A 17,251-nucleotide genomic window follows, 5' to 3' on the forward strand; every position below is an offset into this window, starting at 1 on the left:
ACAACTTTCAGAGGCAATCTATCTTCCTACCAAAAGTAACCAACATCTGTGGAGCACTTACCATGACTAAGGGTCAACATAAGTGGTTTGCATGCTGCATGCATCAGGATGGACCAGGTTATGCTGCAGTAACAAATTAACCCCAGAGTCTCAGCAGCTTAGCAACCAAGGTTGATTTCTTACATTCCATGTCCACAATGGGTTGGCTGGGTATGGTGTGCTCCATATGGCCACTCAAAGACCTAGAATGATGGAAATTCTACCATGTTAATGCAAGGATTCTCCCATAGTTACTACACCAGGAGATGAGAGAATGAGATAGTTATTCCCAAGCCCTCAAAAGCTGTAGACTAGAGGTGATATCAGTGACTTCCACTTATAAAGCCTTGGACCCTGGCATGGATCCATCTAACTACAGGGGGTCTGGGGAATACAGGGAGCACCTGGAAATCCCATGAGCAGTAACCATTCCTGCCAGCATGCATTATTTCATCTGAACCTCACAACCCCATGGAATATAGAACAGAGGCTTGGAGAGTTAAGGGACCTGCCCCAAGGCGTCACAGATAATGAGTTGCAGAGCTGAGATATGGCCCTCAGCCTGGCAGGTTTCAAACCACTATGCTGCATACTCATCACAAAATTCTATGAAATTCCTCATACAGCAAAACACCACACCAAGTGAAAAGAAAGCCAAGTTGTGCAAATACAAAATAGAACTGCCCGGACACTTCACCTCCTCACCCACCCCACCCCCACCGAAAGAATCAACCTACGCAAATAACTGGAATGAAATTCTCAGGCAATTTCAGCAGGGGAAATGGGGTTATCTCATCTGGGTCTCACATCCGAACTCATCAAGACAAGACCTTCCCTAAACTTCACCTGAACACCTGGACACACCGTCATGTCTTGCCGCTTCTTGTTACTGGAAATCCAATGATGATGTCTTTATACAATTTATAGGTCTTTCTATAAGTGCCAAGATAAATGTCATCTCTGTACCTGCATATCATTCAGAGGTAGGCAAGCTTCTATGTAAAGTGCTAGATAGTAAATATAAACTTTGCAGGACTCATATGATCTCCATCCTATACATTTTTTTGTTTTTGTTTTACAATTTTTTTTTTCTTTTTAGATAGGGTCTAAAAAGAAAACAAAACTTATCCATGTTGTGATATGGATGAACGTTAAAAACATGCTCAGTGAAAGAAGCAGACATGAAAGGTCATATATTGTACAATTCCATTTATATGCAATGTTCAGTCTAAGCCAATCGACAGAGATAGAAAGTAGATGAAGGGTTTCCAGGGGCTGCAGGAGGGGATATGCAAAGTGACTGCTGAATGGATATGAGGCTTCCAATTGAGGTGTTGAAAAAGCCCTGAAACTAGGTAGTGGTGACAATTGCACAACATGATAAATGTACAAAATGTCACTGAACTGTACACTTTCAGATACACAAAATGGTAAATGTTGCATATATTATACCACAATTTTATTCATTTATTTTAGAGAGAGAGTCTCACTCCATCACCCAGGCTGCAGTGCAATGGCACAATCATAGCTCACTGCTGCCTTTACCGCCTGGGCTCAAGCAATCCTCCCACCTAGTCTTCCAAGTAGCTGGGACTACATGTGAACGCTACCACACACAGCTTTTTAAATTTTTTTATAGAGTTGCATTCTCGCTTTATTGCCCAGACTGGCCCAAACTCCTGGCTTCAAGTGATTCTCTCATCTCAGCCTCCCAAAGTGCTGGGATAACAGGTGTAAGCCATCAGGCCAGGCAATTTTTAATTCTTATGCGAAATTTTCAAATAATTCCTAGGATTAAAAAAAATGTCGATCAACATGGGGATTAGAGGAAAAAATAATTTTAAACAAAGAAAAAATTAAATGAGATGATGTATATGTATACAGTGCCTGGCCTCATGATCACTGAGTCCACTGCAGCTTTTTATTTTTTTTTTCCATATAGGGTCTCACTCTGTCACCCAGGCTGAGTACAGTGGCATAATCATGGCTTACTGCAGCCTCAACCTCCTGGGCACAAGTGATCCTCCCACCTCAGCCTCTCATGTAGCTGGGACTACAGATGCACACAACCACACCTAGCTATATTTGTTGTTGTTGTTATATTTTTTGGTAGTGACAGGGTCTCACCATGTTGCCCAGGCTGGCATCTTGAACTCCTGGGCTCAAGCGATCCTCCCACCTCAGCTTCCCAAAGTGCTGGGATTACAGGTGTGAGCCACCATGCCCATCCTGTTGTAGCTATTTTAATAGTGCTGGTGAACAATAATTTGCTCTCCCTATAAAAACAGAACATACAAAGCCAAGGAAAGCACCAATCTAGTTTGTTCTCCCCAGATCTTGAAATGTTGGAATTAGTATAAGAGTGCAAAATATTCATGTGGTTTGATTTTTTTTTTTTTTTTTTTTTTGGAAATGCAGTCTCGTTCCATCGTCCAGGTCAGAATGCAGTGGCGCAATCTCGGCTCACTGCAACCTCCGCCTCCTGGGTTCAAGCAATTCTCCTGCCTCAGCCTCCCGAGTAGCTGAGATTACAGACATGTACCGCCACGCCTGGCTAATTTTTGCATTTTTAGTAGAGATGGGGTTTCTCCATGTTGGACAGGCTGGTCTTGAGCTCCTGACCTCAAATGATATACCCGCCTTAGCCTCAAAGTGCCGGGATTACAGGTGTAAGCCACCATGTCCGGCCAGTTTGATTTTTTACTGTGGTAAAATACATACAAAATCTATTATTTTAGCCATTTTCAAAGGAAAAATTCAGTGGTGTTAAGTGCATCCACCACATTGTACAGCCATGTTCCCCCACCCATCTCCAGAACACTTTCATACTGTCCTGCAAATATGCAGCACCTTGCTACACTCCAGTTTGTTTGTCCCACAACAGAGCTGGGCTGAATTAATTATTAATGTGACTTTGTTCAACAACGGACTAAAGAGGGAGAAGCCCATGAACTGTGTGAGGAGTGCATGACAGGTGCTCGTGGGATGACGTGGCTCGGCGCCCTCCAGCTGCTGCTACCGCTGCCTGTCCTGCTGGGCGGCCACCTCCTCCCAGGGAAGAAGAGCACTCACAACTGCTGCTGATCTCCTTCCAGGGCTTCCGCTGGGACTAGGATCAGGATGTGGACACCCCCAACCTGGACCGTCTGGCCGGGGAGGGCGTCAAGGCCAAGTACCTCATGCCGCCCCTTGTCACAATGACCTCCCCGTCCCACCTCACTGCCATCCCAGGTAAGCGTCACTCTGCCCATTTCACCTGATGCCCATCAAAGCCCCAGCGTCCGTCATTCCCTGTGATAAGAAGCAAAAGCTCGGTCAGCTCTAGGGAGGTTGAGGCGGCTCCGGGGTCTCACTCTGTTGCCCAGGCTGTAGCTCAGTGGCATAATCACAGCTCAGTGGAGCCTCAAACTCCTGCTCTCAAGCAGTCCTCCCTAGCTCAGGCTCCCCAGTAGCTGGGGATACAGACAAGCCACCGTGTCTAATTTTCTCATTTTCTTAGAAATTGGGGCAGGGGGTGTCTCACTATGTTGCCTGGGCTGGTTTCGAACTCCTGGCCTCAAGTGATCATCCCACCTCAGCCTCCCAAAGGCTGAGATTGGAGACATGAGCTACTGTGACTGGCCTGATCTTTTTTAAAAAAGTAAATAAGGCCGAGCATGGTGACTCACCCCTGTAATCCCAGCACTTTGGGTGGCTGATGCGGGTGGATCACCTGAGGTCAGGAGTTCAAGACCAGCTTGGCCAACATGGTGAAACATCGTCTATCCTAAAAATACAAAAATAAGCTGGGCATGGTGGCAGATGCCTGTAACGACAGCTACTCGGGAGTCTGATACAGGAGAATCACTTGAACCCAGGAGGTGGAAGATGAAATGAGCTGAGATCATGCCATTGCACTCCAGTTTGGGCAACAGAGCAAGATTTTGTCTCAAAAAAAAAATAAAAGTAATAAAAATAAAAAGGTAAATAACTAGAATCACTTTTAAATAATTGTATAAAAATAATAAAACATTGACATTTACAGAGCTCAGTTAGATGAGGTGACTCATACCCTCCAATGGTGTCCTGGTTCTCTTACATAAGAATTGAAATGTCTTTCTGTGGCTCAAAAGATCCCACGCAGACTGGCCCCTGGCCCATCTTCTGCCAGCCTCTCTCATCTCTCTCCCTCTCCTTCACTTCCTTCCGGATCACAAAGGCCTTTTGCCTGTGCCTTCTGCCCTGCTCCCTCCAGCCCCAGGGCCTTGGCCTGCGCTAGTCCAGTCCCTCCAGCTCACCAGGAGCATGCAGTCCAGTCAGGGAGACAGACACCAGACACCCAAACAGGCACATACATCCCGTGACAACTCAGGAGGCATCAAGGAGGAAAACGAGTTTTCCAGGTACAGACTACAGGGGTAAACTGGCTTCAAGCTAGAGAGGGAGAAAGGGGGTCTCTGATCATGGGGCGGTTGAGCTGAAAGAGATCTTAGGGGATCAGAGCAAGGAAAAGTGTTCCAGGCAGAGGGAAGAGCATGTGTGAGGTCTCTGAGACAAAGACCTGGTCATTTCAGAATCCCAGTGGCCACTAAAATAGAGGGATTCCAACCTAAAAAGGAGGAAGAGGAGGCTGCTGGAAAGCAAAGTACTCTGTGTAAGAATCATAATAGCGGGGGTGGAGCCAAGATGGCCGAATAGGAACAGCTCCAGTCTACAACTCCTGGCTTGAGCGACGCAGAAGACAGGTGATTTCTGCATTTCCAACTGAGGTACTGGGTTCATCTCACTGGGGAGTGTCAGAAAGTGGGTGCAGGACACTTGGTGCAGTGCACTGAGCATGAGCCCAAGCAGGGCGAGGCATTGCCTCACCCGGGAAGTGCAAGGGGTCAGAGAATTCCCTTCCCTAGTCAAAGAAACGGGTGACAGATGGCACCTGGAAAATCGGGTCACTCCCACCCTAATACTGCACTTTTCCAATGGTCTTAGCAAACGGCACACCAGGAGACTATATCCCGCACCTGGCTCGGAGGGTCCTAAACCCATGGAGCCTCACTCATTGCTAGCACAGCAGTCTGAGATCAAACTGCAAGGTGACAGCAAGGCTGGGGGAGGGGCGACCACCATTTCCTAGGCTTCAGTAGGTAAACAAAGCAGCTGGGAAGCTCCAACTGGGTGGAGCCCACCACAGCTCAAGGAGGTCTGCCTGCCTCTGTAGACTCCACCTCTGGGGGCAGGGCATTGGCAAACAAAAGGCAGCAGAATCCTCTGCAGACTTAAATATCCCTGTCTGACAGCTTTGAAGAGAGTAGTGGTTCTCCCAGCACACAGCTGGAGATCTGAGAATGGACACACTGCCTCCTCAAGTGGGTCCCTGACCCCCGAGTTGCCTAACTGGAGGCACCTCCCCGTAGGGGCAGACTGACATCTCACATGGCCAGGTACCCCTCTGAGACAAAACTTCCAGAGGAACAATCAGGCAGCAACATTTGCTGCTCACCAATATCCGCTGTTCTGCAGCCTCCACTGCTGACACCCAGGCAAACTCCAACAGACCTGCAGCTGAGGGTCCTGACTCTTAGAAGGAAAACTAACAAACAGAAAAGACATCCACATTAAAACCCCATCTGTACGTCACCATCATCAAAGACCAAAGGTAGATAAAACCACAAAGATGGGGAAAAAACAGAGCAGAAAAACTGGAAACTCTAAAAATCAGAGTGCCTCTCCTCCTCCAAAGGAATGCAGCTCCTCACCAGCAATGGAACAAAGCTGGACAGAGAATAACTTTGACAAGTTGAGAGAAGAAGGCTTCAGACGATTAAATTACTCCGAGCTAAAGGAGGAAGTTCGAACCCATGGCAAAGAAGTTAAAAACCTTGAAAAAAAATTAGACGAATGGCTAACTAGAATAACCCATGCAGAGAAGTCCTTAAAGGACCTGATGGAGCTGAAAACCAAGGCACGAGAACTACGTGACAAATGCACAAGCCTCAGTAGCCGATTCGATCAACTGGAAGAAAGGGTATCAGTGATGGAAGATGAAACGAATGAAATGAAGCAAGAAGAAAAGCTTAGAGAAAAAAGAATAAAAAGAAATGAACAAAGCCTCCAAGAAATATGGGACTATGTGAAAAGACCAAATCTACGTCTGATTGGTGTACCTGAAAGTGACAGTGAGAATGGAACCAAGTTGGAAAACACTCTGCAGGATATTATGCAGGAGAACTTCCCCAATCTAGCGAGGCAGGCCAACATTCAAATTCAGGAAATATGGAGAACACCACAAAGATACTCCTCAAGAAGAGCAACTCCAAGACAGATAATTGTCAGATTCACCAAAGTTAAAATGAAGGAAAAAATGTTAAGGGCAGCCAGAGAGAAAGGTCAGGTTACCCACAAAGGGAAGCCCATCAGACTAACAGCTGATCTCTTGGCAGAAACTCTACAAGCCAGAAGAGAGTGGGGGCCAATATTCAACATTCTTAAAGAAAAAAATGTTCAACTCAGAATTTCAAATCCAGCCAAACTAAGCTTCATAAGTGAAGGAGAAATAAAATACTTTACAGACAAGCAAATGCTGAGAGATTTTGTCACCACCAGTCCTGCCCTACAAGAGCTCCTGAAGGAAGCACTAAACATTGAAAGGAACAATCAGTACCAGCCACTGCAAAAACATGCCAAATTGTAAAGACCATCAAGGCTAGGAACAAACTGCATTAACTAATGAGCAAAATAACCCGCTAACATCATAATGACAGGATCAAATTCACACATAACTATATGAACCTTAAATGTCAATGGGCTAAATTCTCCGATTAAAAGACAGACTGGCAAATTGGATAAAGAGTCAAGACCCATCAGTGTGCTGTATTCAGGAAACCCATCTCATGTGCAGAGACACACATAGGCTCAAAATAAAGGGATGGAGGAAGATCTACCAAGCAAATGGAAAACAAAAAAAGGCAGGTGTTGCAATCCTAGTCTCTGATAAAACAGACTTTAAACCAACAAAGATTAAAAAAGACAAAGAAGGCCATTACATAATGGTAAAGGGATCAATTCAACAAGAAGAGCTAACTATCCTAAATATATAGGCACCCAATACAGGAGCACCCAGATTCAAAAAGCAAGTCCTTAGAGACCTACAAAGAGACTTAGACTCCCACACAATAATAATGGGAGACTTTAACACCCCACTGTCAACATTAGACAGATCAACGAGACAGAAAGTTAACAAGGATATCCAGGAATTGAACTCAGCTCTGCACCACGTGGACCTAATAGACATCTACAGAACTCTCCACCCCAAATCAACAGAATATACATTCTTCTCCGCACCACACCACACTTATTCCAAAATTGACCACATATTTGGAAGTGAAGCACTCTTCAGCAAATGTAAAACAACGGAAATTATAACAAACTGTCTCTCAGACCACAGTGCAATCAAACTAGAACTCAGGATTAAGAAACTCACTCAAAACTACTCAACTACATGAAAACTGAACAACGTGCTCCTGAATGACTACTGGGTACATAATGAAATGAAGGCAGAAATAAAGGTGTTCTTTGAAACCAACAAGAACAAAGACACAACATACCAGAATCTCTCGGACACATTCAAAGCAGTGTGTAGAGGGAAATTTATAGCACTAAATGCCCACAAGAGAAAACAGGAAAGATCTAAAATTGACACTCTAACATCACAATTAAAAGAACTAGAGAAGCAAAGAGCAAACACATTCAAAAGCTAGCAGAAGGCAAGAAATAACTAAGATCAGAGCAGAACTGAAGGAAATAGAGGCACAAAAAGCCCTTCAAAAAATCCATGAATCCAGAAGCTGGTTTTTTGAAAAGATCAACAAAATTGATAGACCACTAGCAAGACTAATAAAGAAGAAAAGAAAGAAGAATCAAATAGACACAATAAAAACTGATAAAGGGGATATCACCAGCAATCCCAGAAAAATACAAACTACCATCAGAGAATAGTATAAACACCTCTATGCAAATAAACTAGAAAATCTAGAAGAAATGGATAAATTCCTCGACACGTACACCCTCCCAAGGCTAAACCAGGAAGACGTTGAATCTCTGAATAGACCAATAACAGGCTCTGAAATTGAGGCAATAATTAATAGCTTACCAACCAAAAAAAGTCCAGGACCAGACGGATTCACAGCCGAATTCTACCAGAGGTACAAGGAGGAGCTGGTACCATTCCTTCTGAAACTATTCCAAATAATAGAAAAAGAGGGAATCCTACCTAACTCATTTTATGAAGCCAGCATCATCTTGATACCAAAGCCCGGCAGAGACACAACCAAAAAAGAGAATTTTAGACAAATATCCCTGATGAACTTCGATGCAAAAATCCTCTATAAAATACTGGCAAACTGAATCCAGCAGCACATCAAAAACTTATCCACCATGATCAAGTGGGCTTCCTCCCTGGGATGCAAGATTGGTTCAACATATTCAAATCAGTAAACATAATCCAGCATATAAACAGAAACAATGACAAAAAGCATACGATTATCTCATTAGATGCAGAAAAGGCCTGTGACAAAATTCAACAACCTTTATGCTAAAAACTCTCAATAAATTAAGTATTGATGGGGCGTATCTCAAAATAATAAGAGCTATCTATGACAAACCCACAGCCAATATCATACTGAATGGGCAAAAACTAGAAGCATTCCCTTTGAAAACTGGCACAACACAGGGATGCCCTCTCTTACCACTCCTATTCAACAGTGTTGGAAGTTCTGGCCAGGGCAATCAGGCAGGAGAAGGAAATAAAGGGTATTCAATTAAGAAAAGAGGAAGTCAAATTGTACCTGTTTTCAGGTGGCATGATTGTATATCTAGAAAACCCCATTGTCTCAGCCCAAAATCTCCTTAAGCTGATAGGCAACTTCAGCAAAGTCTCAGGATACAAAATCAATGTGCAAAAATCACAAGCATTCTTATATACCAATACAGACAAACAGAGAGCCAAATCATGAGTGAACTCCCATTCACAATTGCTTCAAAGAGAATAAAATACCTATGAATCCAACTTACAAGGGAGGTGAAGGACCTCTTCAAGGAGAACTATAAACCACTGCTCAAAGAAATAAAAGAGGACACAAACAAATGGAATAACATTCCATGCTCATGGGTAGGAAGAATCAATATCGTGAAAATGGACATACTGCCCAAGGTAATTTATAGATTCAATGCCATCCCCATCAAGTTACCAATGACTTTCTTCACAGAATTGGAAAAAACTGCTTTAAAGTTCATATGGAACCAAAAAAGAGCCCACATTGCTAAGTCAATCCTAAGCCAAAAGAACAAAGCTGGAGACACCACGCTACCTGACTTCAAACTATACTGCAAGCCTACAGTAATCAAAACATCATGGTACTGGTACAAAAACAGAGATATAGACCAATGGAACATAACAGAGCCCTCAGAAATAATGCCACATATCTACAACCATCTGATCTTTGACAAACCTGACAAAAACAAGCAATGGGGAAAGGATTCCCTATTTAATAAATTGTGCTGGGAAAACTGGCTAGCCATATGTAGAAAGCTGAAACTGGATCCCTTCCTTACACCTTATACAAAAATTAATCCAAGATGGATTAAAGACTTAAATATTAGACCTAAAACCATAAAAACCCTAGAAGAAAACCTCAGCAATACCATTCAGGATATAGGCATGGGCAAGAACTTCATGTCTAAAACACCAAAAGCAATGGCAAGAAAAACCAAAATTAACAAATGGGATCTAATTAAACTAAAGAGCTTCTGCACAGCAAAAGAAACTACCATCAGAGTGAACAGGCAACCTACAGAATGGGAGAAATTTTTTGCAATCTACTCATCTGACAAAGGGCTAATATCCAGAATCTACAATGAGCTCCAATAAATTTACAAGAAAAAAACAAACAATCCCATCAAAAAGTGGGCAAAGGATATGAACAGACACTTCTCAAAAGAAGACATTTATGCAGCCAAAAGACACTTGAAAAAAATGCTCATCATCCCTGGCCAGAGAAATGCAAGTCAAAACAACAATGAGATACCATCTCACACCAGTTAGAATGGCGATCATTAACAAGTCAGGAAACAACAGGTGCTGAAGAGGATGTGGAGAAATAGGAACACTTTTACACTGTTGGTGGGACTGTAAACTAGTTCAACCATTGTGGAATTCAGTGTGGCAATTTCTCAGGGATCTAGAACTAGAAATACCATTTGACCCAGCCATCCCATTACTGGGTATATACCCAAAGGATTATAAATCATGCTGCTATAAAGACACATGCACACGTATGTTTATAATGGCACTATTCACAATAGCAAAGGCTTGGAACCAAGCCAAATGTCCAACAACGATAGACTGGATTAAGAAAATGTGGCACATATACACCATGGAATACTATGCAGCCATAAAAAATGATGAGTTTACGTCCTTTGTAGAGACATGGATGAAGCTGGAAACCATCATTCTCAGCAAACTATTGCAAGGACAAAAAACCAAACACCGCATGTTCTCACTCACAGGTAGGAATTAAACAATGAGAACACACGGACACAGGAAGGGGAACATCACACACTGGGGCCTGTTGTGGGGTCAGGGGAGGGGGGAGGAATAGCATTAAGAGATATACCTAATGTTAAATGACGAGTTAATGGGTACAGCACACCAACATGGCACATGTATGCATATGTAACAAACCTGCACGTTGTGCACATGTACCCTAAAACTTAAAGTATAATAAAAAATAAAATATAAAATAAAAACTTTGGCTGTTGACTCCAAATATCCTGCTTCATCATCTCTCCACTCCAGAAACTTTTCACATGCTTACAAAGGGTGTTCGTTTCTCCTCTAAGTATTTGCTCCCCAGCCCCACCTGCAAGAATGTGGAAGTAGGGACTCTGCCTGGGATGGTAACTCTCAAATATAAGGCAAGACTTGTCCCTCCACCAATATCCCCAGGACTGAAGGACTGTGAAAGTCTGCATATTGATCAAGCTTCTCCCTCCCTTATCTGAAGGGACTTACTTCCTTCAAGACACTTTTCCTCTTCCCACCTAGCTCCATGCCCCCATCCAGTCATCTTCCAACCCATCTCTCCCCACCTGCATGCCACACAAGAAGGGCATGACCACAGCACCTGGAAGTTCCTTAAAGTTGAGTGGTGTGTCAGGCCGGGTGCGGTGGCTCATGTCAGTAACCCCAGCACTTTGGGAGGCTGAGGCAGGCAGGTCACTTGAGGTCAGGAGTTCGAGACCAGCCTGGCCAAAATGGTGAAACTCCATCTCTACTAAAAATATAAAAATTAGCTGGGGGTGGTTGTGCTTGCCTGTAGTCCCAGCTACTTGGGGAGCTGAGGCAAGGGAATCACTTGAACCTGGGAGGCAGAGGTTACAGTGAGCCAAGATTGTGCAATTGAACTCCAGCCTGGGCGATAGAGTGAGACTCTGTCTGAAAAAAAAAAAAAAAAGAAATCGAATGGTGTGATTAGCTTATGATTTTTTAAAAATGGAATGATGTATTCATTTTCTAAGCTGCATAACAAATCAACACAAATTTAGCAGCTTAAAACATCCATCTATTACCTCTCCTTTCCTGTGGGTCATGAGTCTGGGGGTGCAGCTTTAGCTGGGTCCTCTGCTCAGGTTCTTACAAGGTTGTGATCAAGGTGCCGGCTGGAATTAGTGTGTCATATGAGGCTTGGGGTCTTCTCCCAACCTCACATGGTTGTTGGCAGAATTTATTTCCATGCAACTGTGGAACTCATGTGGCTGGCTTCTTCAAAACCAGCCAGGCATGGTGGCTCACGCCTGTAATCCCAGCACTTTCGGAGGCCGAGGCAGGTGGATCACCTGATGTCAGGAGTTCGAGACCAGCCTGGCCAATATGGTGAAACCCCATCTCTACATAACTTAGCCGGGCATGATTCTCAAGGAGAATCACTTGAACCCAGGAGGCAGAGGTTGCAGTAAGCCGAGATCGTACCACTGCACTCCAGCCTGGGCAACAGAGTGAGACTCCATGTCAAAAACAAACAAACAAACAAAAAACAAAAACCAGGAGGAAGGAGTCTCTCTCCTCCAGACCTTCATTGAAGATCTCACCTGAAGATGTCAGGCCCACCCTGAATAATCTCCCTTTTGATTAACTCAAAGTGAATGGATTAGGGGCTTAGTTACATCTGCAAAATTCCTTCAACTTTTTCATAGGTATAGATTAGAAGCAAGCCATGGGTCCTGCCTACACTCCAGGGGAGAGGAGATTACACCTGGCATTTATCCAGGGCAAGAACCTAAGGGGTCATCTCAGAATTCTGTCTTCCAAATAGATCCTCGGTGGAGCTTACATGCCTGGGCGAGCACCAGCCTTTGTTTAAAGGCAACAGAGAATTGTGGCCTGGCTCAGATCTCCAGCAAGCCTCCAGAATGATGGTCCACTCTCTGAACCCAGGGCCAAGGCAGCAGGAGCTTTTGGTGCACATGGGGGCTTACCCCACTTTGAGGTGAGTCGTCACATCCATATTAGACCCTAGCTGTTGCTTAGGCAAAAATGATGATTTAGAAGAAGACGGAGAGAAGAGGAGAGTTAATTTAAAAGTACTTATATTCGGCCGGGCGTGGTGGCTCATGCCTGTAATCGCAGCACTTTGGGAGACTGAGGCAGGCGGATCATGAGGTCAGGAGATGGAGACCATCCTGGCTAACACGGTGAAATCTTGTCTCTATTAAAAATACAAAAAATTAGCTGGGCGTGGTGGCGGGCGCCTGTAGTCCCAGCTACTCAGGAGGCTGAGGCAGGAGAATGGCATGAACCCAGGAGGCGGAGCCTGCAGTGAGCCGAGATCTCACCACTGCACTCCAGCCTGGGCAACAGAGCGAGACTCCATCTCAAAAAAAGAAAAAAAAAAGAGAAAGTACTTATATTCATTCCCTAGGGATGCCACAACCAAGTACCAAAAGCTGGGTGACTTGAAACCAGAGAAATTGATTGTCTTGTGGCTCTGGTAGCCAGCAGTCTGAAACGGAGGTGCCAGCAGGGCCATGCTCCCTCCTGCACTTGTCGGGGAGTCCTGCCTTGCCTCTTCGTAGCTTCCTGTGGTCTCCTGGCAGTCTTCAGTGTTTCTTGGTTTGCATACGCATCAGTCCAATCTTCCGTCCAATCCATGGCCTTCTTCCCTGTGTCTCTATGACTCGGCGTGTCCTCTCCTCTTTTATAAGGACACCAGTCATTGACTTGGGCCCTCCCTACTCCAGGACGACTTCATCCTAATCAATAGCATCTGCAATAACCCTATTTCTTTCCTTCTTTCTTTCTTTCTTTCTTTTTTTTTTTTTTTTTTTTTTGAGACGGAGTTTCACTCTTGTTGCCCAGGCTGGAGTGCAATAGCGCGATCTCAGCTCAATGCAACCTCTGTCTCCTGAGTTCAAGCAATTCTCCTGCCTCAGCCTCCTGAGTAGCTGGGATTACAGGTGTGTGCCAACACACCCAGGTAATTTTGAATTTTTAGTAGAGAAGGGGTTTCTCCATGTTGGTCAGGCTGGTCTCAAACTCCTGACCTCAGGTGATCCGCCTGCCTTGGCCTCCCAAAGTGCTGGGATTACAGGCGTGAGCCACCACGCCTGACCCGCAATAACTCTATTTCTAAATAAGGTCACATTCTGAGCTACTAGAATTCAGGATTTCAACATGTTTTGAGGAGGACTCAATTTAACCCATAAGAATACTATGTGGGCCACACGTGCTGCTTCACATCTGTTATCCCAGCACTTTGGGAGGTTGAAGCAGGAGGATCATTGCTCAGGGCGTAGGGGGGCACCAGGTGCATAAAACCACAGCGTTGACTGGTGTGGGGGCTCACACCTGTATGTTTGGGAAGCTAAGGCAGGGCGATCACTTGAGCCCAGGAGTTTGAGGCCAGCCTGGGTGACATAGTGAGATCTCACTTCTAAAAAAAAAAAAAAAATTTAATTAACTGGGCATGTTGGTACCCACCTACAGTCCCAGCTACTCAGGAGGCTGAAGCAGGAGGGTCGCTTGAGTCCAGAAGATCAAGTCTGTGGCGAGAAGTGATTGCACCACTGCACTCCAGCCTGGACAACAGAGCAAGCCCTGTCTCAACCAAAAAAAAAAAAAAAAAAAAAAAAATCTCCCTTGTCTTCTGATTCCCTGAGCTGTCATAGAAAGGAAGTGAAGCAGTGAAAGCATCCCCCCAAAAAGGACTTTTCAAAACCAGCCTAAGCAACATAGCAAGACCTTGCCTTTAGAAACTATTTAAATTTGAAGGAAAAAAAAAAAAAGCAGTACTATGGCACAGAGTTGACAGCTACAGGTGTGGCTACATCCAGGTCCTAAAACTAAATCATCAGAATGACCCCTCACCCTCCCCCCGCTTTCCATTTTACTTTCTTAAGAATGAACATGAAATTTCCAAGATTGTTTCTCCTTTGGCTAATCTGCTTCTCAGACCCAATCACTGTGGCCAGGGTGGTGGAAGGATACTGACATCCAGGCTGGGACCACATGCCCCAGCTCCAGATCAGGGTGGGGAATGGCCAGTCGCACACATGTCGTGGGGGACTAGTGACTCCTCGGTGGAAAATCGGGGACTGTCATTGGAGAGGAGCGATAGAAGAAAGGCTGAAGCAGTGCATTGTATCTCCTGCACCAGCCTGGGCCTCAATGTCTTGAGTACTGATGACCCAGTACTCAGTCTAGGGCAATCCCAACTCCATCTGCGGGGCTGCCCACAGTACATGGACCCCCTCACTGGATTTGCTGACCACACGTGCAAACAGCCACTTCCCAGCCCCACTCCACGCAGTCCCCCTGAACCCTGTCAAAATTCCCCTCAGTTCTCACCAAGACTAAAAGCAATTCTGAGGGTGAGCGGCTCATTCTGCTAGTTTAACTCTCTCGATTCCTTCCCTCTCCAGAACTCTGTACTTACTGCTCCGTCACTGGAAATGACAATGAACATCTTCACAATCTCAGGTTTTATTGCAAAGTGATTGAGGACCAGTTAGAATAAGTTATGCTACAGAAACTAAAGAAATCCCGTCAAACAAATGGTATGTAATAGAAAGTCTTAGGGCAGCCGTGTATATTTTCTCCCCCAATGAATCAATTGAAAATGAGAAGCTGTTACCGCCATGTTCCGGGCAGAAGCTATCAAAAGTATAAGCCATGATATTATAATTTGATGATTTTTCATCCGTCAAATGGATATGGCCCAGGGGTGAAAAGTGGATGCTCCGTAACTAGATGATGGTCAAGAGTTATAAAAATGAGGTCCTCTCTGTTCAACATTTCTCCTTTCTTGAAAGGATACTCAATGTCATGCTCAGGGCCTCTAATGGCCAGAAATAAATTTCCTCCCAGTTCCAGAGCACCCCAGGGCAACCCCAAAACCAGAGCAACTGCTTATTGCCATGTAGACTATGTACTATGCAATTCCTGGGGTGGCATTTTCATAAATATGTGGGTGGCGCCCCCTGGAGGTATGCAATGCACAACTTGCACAAATGGTAAGTCATCGTATCCCAAGGTCCACAAAGAAGAGGTAAACAAAATTCCCATCGATGTTGCCATCAGTCATGAGTCTGCCTTTTCTTCATGGGACAGTAGCAAAAACAATTTGGCCAAGTGTGCTTGGATGATCTCTAAGATGGAATCAGGGTCTCTCACTTTCAGCACTATTGACCTTTGGGGCTGGATCATTATTTTGTCTTAGTGGGATTTGTCCAGGGAATTGTAGGATGTTTAGCAGCATCACTGGCCTCTACCCATTAGCTGCCAGTAGCACCACCTCCTCCAGCTGCAACAACCAAAATTGTCTCCAGACATGGTCACATGTTCTCTGGGGGGCAAAATCACCCCCTGGTTGAGAAGTCCTGAAGTAAAGACATAATACGCAAATCACATGTAAGTAAGAGAGCCTAAGGGCCACACAGGTGATGCTGTATCCATGACAAAGACAGAGACTTAAAGAGATTAGAGAGGTGGAGAAAGATAAAAGAAATGAAGTCCCAGCTGCCGAGAGCAACAGATGCTGACTAGATGTTGTTGATAGTCATCTTTAAACTGAGTTAAAAGATGCTGAGAAGCAATCAGCTGCCATCCTGCCCTCCAGGGACAACGCTGCTGAAAAAGGCCTGGAGAGCAACAAAGCCCCAAACGCAGGTGCACTGAGTAAAGAAACCAGAGATTGAGACAAAAAAGACATTCCCTCAAAGACTACTCATTTCCAAGAGGGGAGAAAAAGTGGAGTCATGAAAAACAGTTGAGGCTGGGTAGAGTGACTCGCACCTGTAATCCCAGCACTTTGGGATTACTCCCGGGCTGAGATGGGAAGATTGCTTGAACTCAGGAGTTTAAGACCAGCCTGGGCAAGATAGCAAGACCTTGCCTCTAGAAAAAGGGAAAAAATTAGCCAGGTGTGGTGATACATGCCTGTGGTCTCAGCTACTTGGGAGGCTGGGGTGGGAGGATCGCTTGAACCCAGGAGGTAGAAGCTGCAGTGAGCAGGGATCGTACCACTGCACTCCAGCCTGGGCTACAGATCCTGTCTCAAAAAAGAAAAAAATTAAACAAAATTAAGGCTGGGCACGATGGCTCATTCCTGTAATCCCAGCACTTTGGGAGGCCAAGGTGGGCAGATCACGAGGTGAGGAGATTGAGACCATCCTGGCTAACACGGTGAAACCCCATCTCTACTAAAAATACAAACAAGTAGCCGGACATGGTGCTGGGTACCTATAGTCCCAGCTACTCTGGAGGCTGAAGCAGAAGAATGGAGTGACCTCGGGAGGTGGAGCTTGCAGTGAGCCAAGATCACACCACTACACTCCAGCCTGGGCAAAAGAGCAAGAACCCATCTCAAAAAAAAAAGAAAATTAAAAATTTTTTTGAGACCAAGTCTCACTCTGTCACCCAGGCTGGAGTGAAATGGTGCGATCTTGGCTCACTGCAACCTCCGCCTCCTGGGTTCAAGTGATTCTCATGTCTCAACCTTGTGCCTCAACATGACTACAGGCATGTTGTCACCATGCCTAATTTTTGCATTTTTAGTAGAGATGGGGTTTCACCATGTTGTCCAGGATGGTCTTTAACTCCTAGGTTCAAGCAGTCTACCCACCTCAGCCTCCCAAAATGCTGAGATTACAGGCATGAGCCACCGTGCCCGACCTCTAACTTTTC

General features: G+C 44.9%; 1 pseudogene, besides 1 other annotated feature; it reads left to right on the forward strand.

Moving 5' to 3' along the window:
• The window catches only part of ENPP7P8 (ectonucleotide pyrophosphatase/phosphodiesterase 7 pseudogene 8), a 58,172-nt pseudogene continuing 44,025 nt past the window's right edge, over positions 3,105-17,251 (forward strand).
• Positions 15,575-16,448: an enhancer, noted in NCBI's record as "OCT4-NANOG hESC enhancer chr11:71445659-71446532 (GRCh37/hg19 assembly coordinates)". NCBI's record gives its function as "activates a minimal SCP1, AML or CMV promoter by ChIP-STARR-seq in naive H9 embryonic stem cells {active_cell/tissue: H9 hESC(naive)}" and the evidence as "EXISTENCE:reporter gene assay evidence [ECO:0000049][PMID:30033119]".

Source organism: Homo sapiens, chromosome 11 (genome assembly GCF_000001405.40).
Source record: "Homo sapiens chromosome 11, GRCh38.p14 Primary Assembly".
Classification (NCBI taxonomy): domain Eukaryota; kingdom Metazoa; phylum Chordata; class Mammalia; order Primates; family Hominidae; genus Homo; species Homo sapiens.